This window comes from Homo sapiens, chromosome 15 (assembly GCF_000001405.40).
Source record: "Homo sapiens chromosome 15, GRCh38.p14 Primary Assembly".
Taxonomy (NCBI): Eukaryota; Metazoa; Chordata; class Mammalia; order Primates; family Hominidae; genus Homo; species Homo sapiens.
The window spans coordinates 89,268,216-89,282,057 of record NC_000015.10 but is presented as its reverse complement, the minus strand read 5'-3'; the positions used below and the strand labels follow the sequence as shown (position 1 = coordinate 89,282,057).

Below are 13,842 nucleotides of genomic sequence, written 5' to 3'. Positions count from 1 at the left end.
ATGGGAATTGCAATAATTCTTACTTCATAGGGTTGCTCTGAAGACTAAATGAAAAAAGCACATAAAGCACTTAGCAAAATGCCTTATTTGATGAAATTGCTCTGCGGGGCTAGGAATTCTCATGATCACTGTGAACAGGTGGTACTAGGAGATGGCAGAGATAACTTTAGCTCCAACATTAGAAGACAACGTCTTCCTATGATAGAAAAAGATGCTACATACTTGGCAAACATAGCTTTCCGAAGGACAAGTATCAAGCAGTCTCTCATTGACATGCTGACTTTGAGAAGGGGCTGAAAAAGAATCAGTGGGTAAAAACAGAACAAGTTTGCTTATTAGCCTTAGGTCATTTCTACCCAATACTGTTACCATATGGCTTCTATAAGGAAGCTTACTTCTGTTTTATATACGTTTTAATGTTTATTACAGTTAACAAGGACAATAGTATACTCTGAAACACTAAAATGAAACTGGTTGCAAATGCCTCTGTAAATCTATTGTAGTCAATAATGTTCTAAGAGAGTTTTAATTATTTCATTAACTTGAAAATGAGTTGAGAGAATAGTGTTATGGATAGGAAATAAACCTGGAAAACAGTCTTGCTCAATGCTCTTGCCCTTTTAATGCAAATTTTATGTTTCAGACTAAAGTGGAATAGAATTTCTTAGACATATATATTTATACAAAAATGCATCAGACTTCCACTAGACAGTTAAACCTCAGTTTTGGCAAGTTACTTGGGAATCTGAAGACTTACCTGCACTGCCTTAAGCAGCCTTTGTACAGTCTGAAGGGGCAGAAAGGACAAATAGTCAAAAGCTTCTGTGACTTTAGAAGAACAACTTTGAAGAACTAAGGGTGCATACATGACGATATTTGAAAGCAGGTCTGAAAAACAGAATCTATAATCAGTTGTCTCAAATAACTAAAGATAACTGAAATAAAAGAAAAATACGGAGAAAGAAATGTGAAGTCTTTTGTTTCCTTTCTCAAATAAGTCAAGTATACTGCAATACAAATTTCTACTGATTCTATATATACTTTTTCTCCAATGTAACCAGGATAATTTTAGCTTTTTTCTATGATAGTTTCAATTTCTATAAAAATTAAACTGCCTAAAAGAAAGGAAGAAACCGATTACACTGCCTAGACATAAGTAGTAGCACACATCTTCTTACTTCTAAGCTAAAATAAATCAATAAATATTTCTGAATTTTTACTATGCACAAGCGTAATATGGTCCTATTAGGAACATAAAAGTATAAAACATAGTCTTTCTTCAAAAATTTTAATAATTTAGTTGGAAGTAAAAAAATTTTTTTAAAGAATTAAAGAGGTAAATCACAGAGCAATATCAAATATCTATTAATTCCAAACATAGTTTATTGCCTACCAAATGGTAAAGGGAGAGTTTAAATAGGAGTTCAAAGGAAGAAGAGCTCATTATGAGTTGGTATATATTAGGAAAGCAATGAGGAGAAGGAACTTAAACTAGGTTCTAAAAGATGGGGAACATTTAAATGCACAAAGCACCAGAAAGGCCTACATATATAAAGGGAAAAGTATGAGTAAAGGTATGAGAAAGGTAAGTTTAAGACATATTCAGAAGATGGTAGGGAAATCAATGATGCTGGGGTGAAGAATCCAGGAAAGTAAATAACTGACTTTAACAATGGAAAGGTAGGGTGGGATCAACTTGTCAAGCACCTTCAGTGCCAGGATAAAGAGCTGACAATTTGGCCAGGTGTGGTGGCTCACGCCTGTAATCCCAGCACTTTGGAAGCCTGAGGCAGGTGGATCACGAGGTCAAGAGATTGAGACCATCCTGGCCAACATGGTGAAACACCATCCCTACTAAAAATACAAAAATTAGCTGGGTGTGGTGGCACGTGCCTGCAGTCCCAGCTACTCTCAAGGCTGAGGCAGGAGAATTGCTTGAACCCGGGAGGCGGAGGTTGCAGTGAGCTGAGATCACACCACTGCCCTCCAGCCTGGGTGACAGAGTGAGACTCCATCTCAAAAAACAAACAAACAAAAAGAGCTGACAATTTACTAAAGAACATATTGATGATTCTGTAGTCATAAGGTGGTATTTTAGGAATACTAATGTGTGGTAATATGCAGGTTAAATTGCTGCAGGGAGAAGAAAAAGCCAGGAAACCAGTTAGAAAGCTGTGGCAGTAGTCTAAATTCAAGGTAGTAAGAATAGGAATTAGACACTGGATGTGAGGTTGGGAGGAGGAGGGAATAAAAAGATAGAAACAATGACAGTATGAGGGAGAAAAATGACAGAACTTGTGTTTGAGAAAATAAAAGGTAATTCCAGCCTCCAGGACCTGGAGAACCATGCTTCAAATAATGGAAATAGGAGCAATGAAAAGGAAAATTTGTTTGAAGGGAACTGTATTATATTTGAGGTAAAAGGAAAACTGGTCACAGGCAGGAAAAGAAGCAGACTCTTACAGTAATCAGAGAACTTACCTAAAAAGTTTCAGGGGAGTTATAAACAGTGATGAATGACACGGAGAAATTTTTAAAATTTGTGATGAAGGCTAGTAAATTTAGACATTAGGAGTTATGTATTAAAAACAGCAAATTCAGGCCAAGCATGGTGGCTCACGCCTGTAATCCCAGCACTTTGGGAAGCTAAGGTGGGTGGATCACCTGAAGTCAGGAGTTCGAGACCAGCCTGGCCAGCATGGCGAAACCCTGTCTCTACTAATAATACAAAAATTAACTGGGTGTGGTAGCGTGCGCCTGTAATCCCAGCTACTGAGGAGGCTGAGACACGAGAACTGCGTGAACCCAGGAGGCAGAGGTTGCAGTGAGCTGAGATTGCGCCACTGCACTCCAGGCAACAGAGTGAAACTGTGTCTAAAAAAGAAACAACAACAACAACAACAACAACAACAACAAAACAGCAAATTCAGAGGTTACCAGAGAGAAACACTGTGCAGTCCAAATGTCAAGGCTAAAAGGACTAGGAAGTCAATGAGTGGCAGCAGCAGGACAGCACTCATTTGAGAGGTATTAACAAAAAGAGAAAATGTTGAGCAAAATGGAAGTTTTACTTATTGGTTAATTGTTGCTTTCCTTACTAACAGCTACAGCCTTTTTGACAACTGACAATCCCAGACAACATAAATGGATTTCCTTTATTGGCATCCTATCAAAGATACTGCATTTAAATGCTCATTAAAATTTTTTTCCCAGGACCAAATGATTATGACATTGAAATGAAAATATTTCTAAAAACTTTATTCATTCTTTCAAAGTTGAATACCTAAGAAATGACTGATGGGAGAAGATGCTCTGGTAACAACCCTGTTGAGGACCTGCTCCAAAATTTCTTGTCTGATCATCTCATGGATCTAAAAAGAACAGAATAAATAAAATATTCCTGGGTGACCCTTCAGCTTTTAAGTATATCAATGCATGTCAGGCAGCATGAAGAACCGTTTGGATATGAGTAAAACTCAAAAAATCAGAATATAATGTGAATCATCTGGAAAGACAGAATCACTCAACTTTCCCCTTGTTCTGTGCTTAGATGATTCATTAGTAGGATAAATACCATGTTTATTAGCCTAAAAGTACAGATCACATTAAACTATTGCTACATATAAGGTTCAGCATCAAACAGGATCAATTCTACTTAGGTATCCATTACCTGACAATATCCATATTCCTGACAGTATACATAACTTTTATTCTAAAAATTAAAATGTAAAAGCCCATGAAGATTTCTAGAAACTTAAAAGATCTTCCCTAACCCCTTTCTCAGTTTCTAGAAGCACAGCAGTTGCTGTTAAAAAGACCCATTCTGAATTTTCACTTGAATTGTAGTTAAAATTCTTACTTCAACTTGATTACTTTATGGTACAGACTAATTCGTTCAGACCTCAGACTGTTAGTGACTTAGTAGCAATTTATAAAGATGCCTTGATAAAGCCGACATCCATGTGAAATCAAATGGAGCCTCTTTAGTTTTGAAAAATAATAATTTAAATATAAAAACATACTCTAAGATAATGTCTTTAACAATATCACTGTTAAGCAGGGTAATTTATATCATCAAATACACTGATAACTCTCAAGAACTATTCTGACATTTACTTCATAGTTCTGGATTAGAACACTAGATTTACATTTAGATCAGCCTCCCAAATAAACATTTTCAGCAGACACTCTTGGTGTGTAGCTACATTAAACAATTGAACATCAAGAAGACTTAGAGGAATTACTAGAAAAGTTGTTTAACCTCAGATATGATCTAGCATTTTTTTATTCAAGAGAAAATAAATTTTTGAAAACTGTTTCAGTAATTAAGATTGAGATGTCAGTGATAATTTGGTAATAATGTCAAAAAAATGTACATTTCCCATTTTGGTTTCTTCAGAAACAATGAACCAATAAGTATGATTCTTTTTTTTTTTTTTTTTTTTTGAGATAGGATCTCACTTTGTTACCCAGGCTGGAGTGCAGTGGTGCAAACACAGCTCACTGTAGCCTTGACTTCCTGGGCTCAAGTGATCCACCTCAGTCACCTAAGTAGCTGGGACTGCAGGTGCGTGCCACCACACCTGGCTAATTTTTGTGTTTTTTGTAGAGATGAGGTTTCGCCACGTTGCCCAGGCTGGTCTCAAACTCCTGAGCTCAAGTGATCTGCCCACCTCAGCCTCCCAAAGTGTTGGGATTATAGGCTTGAGCCACCATGCCCGACCAAGCATGATTCTTTTTTTGTTTTATTTTCAGTAAAAATTCTTAAGCATGATTCTTTAAGCTTGATGCTCTACAGTGACCTAAAAAAATTTCTTCTGTGTAAAGGAACAGCATTAAAACAAAACAAAACAAAAACTAGAAATGGTTTACTTCTGGAAGAAGAAGGAAAAATCATGAAAAAGCTGTCTTATATTCAAACTTCTAGGTCAGAAACAATTGGATTAAGTGGAATAAATGAAAAACTTACATAGAAGAATACGTAAGTAAGTATTCCATCAAACTGGATCTATAATGTTTCAATATTATCCTAATCTCTGTCATATATCCTCTGTCAAACTAATACATACTCAAATTTCCTTGTCCACCAAACTCCCAGGCAAATGCCAAGCCCTACTTGGATTATTTAAACAAAATTAGGGAGTGGTTGCCAAAATAGTGTCTCACCTTAAAAGTTTCCAACAGGATATTAGCTCCGAGCTTACATGCATGCTGGTTTGGCATTCTAGAAAGACTTGGGCTGGTTTCAATAGTTTTTCCATCAAGAACCTTCTTTGGCCCATATGAATCCATCAAAATGAAACCAAGTTCTACGAGGCCCTGAGTAACATGGTCCCAGCTATGAACGCTACAAGAACACAAAGCTTAGTTAAAAAAGAAAAACTTAGTGAGATATTCTTACCTTTATACTCATTGCCCTGTTATACATTTCCCAAACTTGACCTAGATAATCAACGTACTCTGCATATAAACCTTTTCTTTACACACATCGTCTGACAGAATTCTGAATTCCTAAATGTACCATAATGGGAACAGCAGGCAAGTGGTCTCCAATGACACACAGAATACTGGGAAAATCCAGAAGCTAGAGAGTATTAAAAAAATTAAAGATTCCTATTCAAGATTTCATGATGAGAAGTTCATTGCTGCCTCTTCTATTACCCTACAGCACTGACAACGCTTATGTAGAGGCTTACAAATTAGCTCCCCTCCAAAGACAGAGATTCTCTAGGAGAGAGGTCATAGTATAGTCATATTTTTACCCACATTGCTTAGCACAAGGGTGGCATATAAAAGACACTCAGTAGATATTTATACTATAAATGGATGAGTGATCTGGTATCAACAGCATAAGCTAAAACTACAAATAATCTTTTGTAAAAGAGTAGAATCATTGGTGGTTTTATACCACTTAATGTTATACCCCACAGTGGAAATAATGTGAATATAACCTTTATCCATTATATCTACCTGTTAAATTGCAACAAATTATAATGCAGCACTACAGAATGAAGTAGACAGTTATGGATAAATTATAAGACTTTAACAGAGTTAACAATATTCATACTCTGAAGAGCCAAAAATTCAATTACATAAAATGGAGAATGCATTATTTAAAGGTTCATTAACTGACTGGGGCAAGCATGTGTAACTAACCAGCCAGTTATTTTAGAGGATCTAATAAGGCTATCCAAATCTCTCCCAGCTGAGGTTTGGTCCCACCCAGTGGCAAGTACCCACTCCAGGCTAATTATACATGGAGATGCTTTCAAGTCCTATGACAGTTGAGATTTCCAGAAGATGGGAAGCTTTCCAGGAATTTCCTGGTTAGTGAGTACCTCCTTCTTTAGCCCAACTTTAAGAGATTGGGTTGGGAAAATACTGGAGACACAAGTATAAACCTCAGGAAAAAGAATAATGAGATACAAAGATTAAAAAGCTTTAAGGCCTAACAATGGGTAAAACACTCAAACAATAAACTCTAATTTCAAATTTGCCCTACTGCAAAGCTCATGTAAATTCAATCTATTAATAAACAAGAATTCCAGGCCTAGAAGAGGCCTACCATAAATTATGCTTAAATTATGAAACTTTAAAATATATTTAATACACAGTGAAAGCATGACATAGTAAAGACTGTTACAACAGCTAATGTATATCCTGAAATTAAAATAAAAACCAGGACAGTTACTGATGTTTTCCATGTGGTTTTAAATGAATTTCTCTAAACTGGCTAATCAATAATTGAATTCCAACTGTACGCTCCAAATTTCAACAAAGTAAATAAAACTCTTAATGTTTTTTACTCACTTTAAAAAGAGGCCATGAGTCAGATGCAGTGGCATGCACCTATTATTGTCCCAGCTACTTGAGAGGCTGAGGCAGGAGGATCAGTTGAGCCCAGAAGATCAAGTCTAGCCTGGGCAACATAGTGAAAAGTTCCTACGTCTTCAGAAAAAAAAAAAAAAAAAAAAGAAGAAAGGCCAAGCCAGGCACAGGGCTACATGCCTATAGTCCCAGCTACTGAGGTGGGAGCATCACTTGAGGCCAGGAGTTTGAGGCTTTACCGTGCTATAATAGAGCCTGTGAATAGCCATTGCACTCCAGCCTGGGCAACATAGTGAGACTGTTTCCTTTAAAAAGGAAAAGAAACGGCCAGGACCGGTGGCTCAAGCCTGTAATCCCAGCACTTTGGGAGGCCAAGGCAGGTGGATTGCTTGAGCTCAGAAGTTCAAGACCAGCCTGGGCAATATGGCGAAACTCTGTCTCTACAAAAAACGCAAAAATTACTTGGGCATGGTGGAGCATGCCTGTAATACCAGGTACTCGAGAGGTTCAGGTGGGAGGATTGCTTGAGCCCAGGAGGTCAAGGGTGCAGTGAGCCAAGATTGTGGCACTACACTCCAGCCTCGGTGACAGAGTGAGACTCTGTCTCAAAAAAAAAAAAAAAAAAAAAAAGGAAAGAAAGAAAAGGAAAATAGAGAATTGTAATATCATGGAATAAACAAAAGCAACTAATTCAGTTTTGTATGCTTGCTGTCAAGGTGGCCAAGAAACCAGGGCCTGAGATTCAAGGATATTTCCATAGGGAAAAAGTATCCTCTACCAGTTTTAAGAAAATGAACCTCGATGTGTGACGTCAACAGCTGTTAAGTCATCAGTTTCCCCTCACAGGCTGCAAGTATGATATCACATTGCATTTTCTAACATTAAACACCTTATAAACCTTTTGAGATATGGTTCACCAACTTACCTATTCTTCACTACTTCCAAGATCATGGTTGAAACATAAGATCTATGAGGAACTAGATTCTGAAGAAATTTTGAGCCTTGGAGGAGTTGAAGATCCTTAAAGCTCTTTACAACCGAAGTCTTTAAAAGATCAAGCACCTTGAGTATAGTTAATAAAAATAAATGAAAAAATAAATAAATAAAAGATCAAGCACCTAACAGAATGAAAGAAATAAGAAAATAAAGCAAATATTATATAGCTCATGCTATAAATCTTAACCTTATAACTGTTCCTATGAGCTGCCATTCACATATATCCCTATGACAACTATTTTAACTAGATGAAGATGTTACAAAAATTATGACATTCAGTGGGAACTTTAAGGAGCTGAAGACAAGCCTTCCTTAAGAAAAAAGGGGGAAAAAAGGCTAAAAGTCAATATAAATATTACCCACAACCTGGAACACATATAAGAAAAAAATTGTAAATTTCATCCTTGCAACTAACCTACTCTTGGAAAGCTACAACATAGTAAAACTGCTGGTGAATATCCAGCTAAATTGTCCCTTCCTCCAACTGGGGCTGTGTGGTATCCTTCCACTCTTATTCCCACCTCACTACCTAGCTTACCACACAACAGGAAACGGAGGAATAAACCAAAAACCTGTAAAAGTTTTCCATCAATCCCCAGAGAACAGAGGGGACATACATGTCTTATTGCAGCTTTGCTGCTGGCAGGAAGGGGATAAAATTGTTTAGGAACGGATACAACAAAAACAGATTACTGTGATTTTTTTTTTTTTTTTTTTTTTTTACCAACTACAGAAAGAAACAAAATGGCATTTTAAAAAAATACCTGGTCCTGAAATCTTTGTATTCTTGTTACAGACAGAAGAAGAGCAATGCTGAAGGGACTTAAGTTATTATTGGAATCTCCTTGCTGTCCTACCTAGAAGAGAGCAACCAAAAGGAAGTCATTTACTTACATTTTCTTTTTTCTTTTTTTTTTTTTTTTAAAAAAAAAAAGATTGGGTCTCTCTGTTGCCCAGGCTAGAGTGCAGTGATGCAATCATAGCTCACTGCAGCCTTGATTTCCCAGGCTCAACGGATCCTCCTGGCTTAGCCTCCCAAGTAGCTGGGACTATACCATGCCTGGCTAATTTTTTAATTTTTAATTTTTAATTTTTTTGGAGAGATGAAGTCTCACTATGTTGCCCAGGAGAGTCTCAAACTCCTGGCCTCAAGTGATCCTCCCACCTTGGTCTCTCAAAGTGCTGGGATTACAGGTGTGAACCACCACACCTGGTCCCATTACATACATCTTAAAAGTATAACAGCCTATTTAACAGTAAGTCCCTTGGCCGGGTGTGGTGGCTTATGCCTGTAATGCCAGCACTTTGGGAGACTGAGGCAGGTGGGTCACTTGAGGTCAGGAGTTCAAGATCAGTCTGGCCAACATGGTGAAACCCTGTCTTGTAAAGTACAAAAATTAGCTGGGAGTGGTGGCACACACCTGTAATCCCAGCTACTCGGGAGGTTGAGGCAGGAGAATCACTTGAATCTGGGAGGCGAAGGTTGCAGTGAGCTCAGATTGCGCCACTGCATCCCCCAAAAAAGTCCTTATGACTCGAGAGACATAAAAAACATTTTTTAATAGTAATAAAAAATAAAAATAGGTCCTTGAATGGATCAGAAATCCAAATGTAAGAGCAAAAATTGTAATATTTTTAGAGGAAAACATATAGAAAAATTTCAAGACCTTGGATTAAGTAAAGATTGCTTACATACAATACCAAAAGCATAATTTCTACAAGAAAAAATTGATAAACTGGACCTCACCAAAATTTAAAACTTTTGTACTTCAAAAGATACCATTAAGAAAATAAAAAGACAAGTCACAGACTGAGAAAAAATATTTGCTAATTATATACCTGATAAAGAACTTGTCACCATTCATAACAAAGTTATTGAAAAAATAAAAAAGAGCTTGTCAGTAGAATATACAAAGAATTTTAATTAAGAAGACAAACAACACACTCAAAAAACGGGCAAAAGATTTGAATAGACATTTCACCAAAGAAGGTATTAGAACAGTTAATGAGCACATGAAAAGATGCTCAATTATCATCAGTCATTAAGAAAATGCAAAGTTAAACCTCAATGAGGTACTGTTTCATACCCATTAGAATGGATATAATAAAAAAGACAGACAATAACAAATGTTGGCCAAGACACAGAGAAATAGGAACCCTCACATAGTGATAGTGGGAATGTAAAATGATACCGTTTTGGAAAACAGGCAGTTTCTTAAAAATATAAACATAAATTTCTCATATAAGCCAGCAGTTCTACTCCTGGATATATGCACAAAAGAAATAAAATGTATGTCCACACAAAGACTTACATTTGAATGTTAGTGGCAGCATTATTTGTAATAGCCAAACAGTAGAAACAATTCAAATGTCCACCAGCTGGGAGACTGCTAAACAAAACTCATATATATCCACACAATGGAATACTATTCAACAATAAAAAGAAATGAGCCTGATATGGTAGCTCACACCTGTAATCCCAGCTACTCAGGAGGCTGAGGCAGGAGGATCACTTGAGGTCAGGAGTTCACAGCAAGACCTCCATCTCTTAAAAAAATTGTTTACAAATTAGCCAGGCATGGTGGTGTGCGCCTGCGGTCCTAGCTAGTCAGAACTCTACAGTGGGAGGATCACTTGAGGCCAGGAGTTTGAGGGTGCAGTGAGCCATGATCATGATATTGCACTCCACCCTAGGTGACAGAGTGAGACCATGTCTCCTAAAACAAACAAAACAATAAAAAGAAATGAAATACTGACATACGCTACAACACAGGTGAATCCTGAAAACATTACACTTAATGAAAGAAGACATACACAAAAGACCACATATCATATAATTCCATTTATACAAAATATCTAGGAAAGGTAAATCTATAGAGACAGAAAGTAGATTAGTGGTTACCTGGGACTGGGAGTGCTAATGCAGATTAAATGGGCATAAAAGATCTTACAGGGTGATAAAAAATGTTCTAAAATTGGATTATAGTGACAGTTACAAAACTAGGTAAATTTATGAAAAAAAATCACTGGATTGCATGCTTAGAATAAAATAATTTTGTGCTATGTAAATTGTGCCTCAAAAAGTTTAAAGAATACATTTTCAAGGCCTAGAAAAGATACTAGTAAAACAAAAAAAATGTAAAATAAAACAGCAATCAAATGGAAAACAAAAAGAAAACAACAGACTGGATCAAAATACATAAAGCTGGTAAAAAGGCCAGCAATATAGTTACTACGAACCTAAATTTAAAAAAAGAGTGAACAGATACAGAGAAGATAAAGAAGTTTTAAAGCCTACTCAGATTATGGTCTTTAAATATCCTTTCCTACAGAAGGGACCCAGGGCTTTTTAGAGACATGGCTAGCATCAGGATGGGGCAAAGAAAGTACTATGGTGAGCCTTGGGCATATCATGCCACAAGCTCAAAGACTAAATGGGGTCACATCAAAAGAACACATAAGCTGACTTGAAGGATCCAACTGGCTAAATTTGGGTAATTTTGTGCTCAAAACAAATAATGACAGTAATGAATAATAAGTACATTGAATTTAAAAAGGTTCATGAGTGCATAATGATATTCAAAACAATAGGGAAAGGAGAGGCTCTTTTTACAGAAGAATGCCAGCTAATAATGCCGAAAGAAAGATGCAATTAAAATTTTCTAATTAAAATTAGAATTCCTTGGGAACAGATTGTGAGGACAAAAAAAAGAAAAAAAAAATAAGATATAAAATTTGAATTCCTGGTATAATTACTGATTTAGGCCAAGAATCATCAATAGATGGGAAAACGAAAACCTTCTGTGAAATGTTGTTGGGAAAAGGATTTTGAATACTATCTCGAACTATGATCCTATAGATTTCTTTCTAATACAAAGGGATACATATGTACCTATAAATGAAGAAAATCAATGGTCATTTTCTTAAAAGCAAATGATTCAGCCTCACAAATAGTAAGGTAGCTAATACTATGTTCCTCCTGATGTAATGCACAGAACAGTGGTTGGCAAACTACATACAGCCTGTTGGCCAAATCCAACCCACTACCTGTTTTTGTGCAACCCATGAGCTAACACTGGTTTTTATGGTTTTAAATGGTTGGGGGAAAAAAAAAATCAAAGGAAGGCCAGTGCAGTGGCTCACGCCTGTAATCTCAGCACTTTGGGAGGCCAAGGCAGGCAGATCACTTGAGGCCAGGAGTTGAAGACCAGCCTGGCCAATATGGCGAAACCCCACCTCTATTAAAAATACGAAAATTAGCCAGGCGTGGTGGCACGCACTTGTAGTCCCAGCTACTTGGGAGGCTGAGGCATGAGAATCACTTGAACCTGGGAGGTGGAGGTTGCAGTGAGCCAAGATTGGGCCACGGCACTCTAGCTTGGGTGACACAGTGAGACTCTGTCCAAAAAAAAAAAACAAATCAAAGGAAGAATAATATCCCACAATATAAAAACGGAATAAAATTCAGATTTCAGTGTCCATAAATGGGAAAACAGCCACACTCGTTAGTACATTTTGTCTATGGCTGCCTTCTTGCTGGAACCGTAAAGCTGAGTAGTTGTGACAGAACCTGCATGGCCTGCAAAGTGTAAAATATTAGTATCTGGCCCTTGCAAGAAAATGTACACATCACTTACGAAGTATTCTTGCCAAAAATGTTTAACTTGAACCCAATCGTGAGGAAACAATCAGATAAATCCAAAAATGTGGGACATTACACAAGACAAGTGGGCTGATGCTTCAAAAAAATCAGTCTAAAACTAGAAAGAAAGAACAACCAAATGCAATGCATGAAGCCTGATGAGAGCCTGGAGCAGAGGAAAAAAAAAACACAGCTGCAAAAGACATTTTAGAGACAACTGTGAAAATGTGAATAGGGAATATAAATTAAATAATATTATGGAATTATTGTTAATTTTCTTAGATGTGATGATGGTATTGTGATAATGTGTCCTTATTCTTAGCATGCTGAAATATTCAGGCATTGAAGTGTTAGGGTTTGGGTTTCTGCATCTTACTTTTAAATGTTCAGAAAAAGAATATGTATGAGAGAAAAAGTGAGGTAAATGTGGCAAAGTGTCTAATAATTGGTCAATCTAGGTGAAGGGAACATAGGTGTTCTTCACGCTATGTAGTGTTTTAACTTTTCTGAGTTAGAATTTTCAAACTAAAAAGTTGGAGGAACAAATATATCTGTACACTACTTTTAATATAGTTTAAAACACTTCTGAGTTTTATTTTACTGCTTTACAAATACTTCATGATGAATGACTTAGCATCACACAACTCCACGATATACTACTAGATGCAACATCCTAGTTCATAAATGAGAAAGCAGAGGCCATAGCTGAAGGTCACATAAGACAGTGACACATAATCTACTTAGAATTAGATTTTGAGTTTCCTGCTGAATAGTTCTCACCTTTTTTCCCACTTTTTTGCGTTAGAACTTTTGAGGGTTTTTTTAAATAGAACTTTCTGGCTTGCTTAAGGATGTGGTATACTGCTAAAGTGAGGACATTAAAAAAAAGGGAGTGTGGTAACATCATGTATTTTCCACTTTTAAAGTAAAAAAAAAAAAAGAGATCCTCCACACCCAGGGTCATTTTACAGTATTTATTTCCTGTCATTAACTGGCATAACAGTGGCTTAAGTTCAAACACTTTCATTCAAAAGAGACCCAGATCACCTTACAAGTTTGATGCTACCTTTAAGTGTTTCACGAGTTCTCTGCCTAGTTCATAGTCCAATTTGATGGCAAACACAATGTGTAGAATAATGGTGCCTTCCACATGACGAAGTTCACCTGATGGCACAGTGACAACATCCAATAGCCTAAAAGATTCAACAGAAAGTTATGAGCTATAAGGTGCAGTGGCTCATGCCTGTAATGCCAGCACTTTGGGAGGCCAAGGCGGGCGCATCACTTGATCCCAGGAGTTCAAGACCAGCCTCTACTAAAAATACAAAAAAATCAGCCCGATGTGGTGGCATTCCTATAGTCCCAGCTACTTGGGA

General features: G+C 36.9%; 1 protein-coding gene across 51 annotated transcripts in view; it reads right to left on the bottom strand.

Annotated features, from left to right (window-relative positions):
* Positions 1 to 13,842, bottom strand: part of FANCI (FA complementation group I) — a 73,281-nt gene that overhangs the window by 35,202 nt on the left and 24,237 nt on the right. For all 51 annotated transcript variants that reach the window (XM_047432789.1, XM_047432806.1, XM_047432815.1 and 48 more), the window contains 7 exons: positions 13,533 to 13,659; positions 8,589 to 8,681; positions 7,754 to 7,890; positions 5,167 to 5,347; positions 3,284 to 3,371; positions 758 to 888; positions 223 to 293 (listed from right to left, as the gene is read on the bottom strand). In XM_047432789.1, coding sequence (XP_047288745.1) covers positions 223 to 293; positions 758 to 888; positions 3,284 to 3,371; positions 5,167 to 5,347; positions 7,754 to 7,890; positions 8,589 to 8,681; positions 13,533 to 13,659 — 828 coding nt within the window. The remainder of the gene's footprint in view (positions 1 to 222; positions 294 to 757; positions 889 to 3,283; positions 3,372 to 5,166; positions 5,348 to 7,753; positions 7,891 to 8,588; positions 8,682 to 13,532; positions 13,660 to 13,842) is intronic.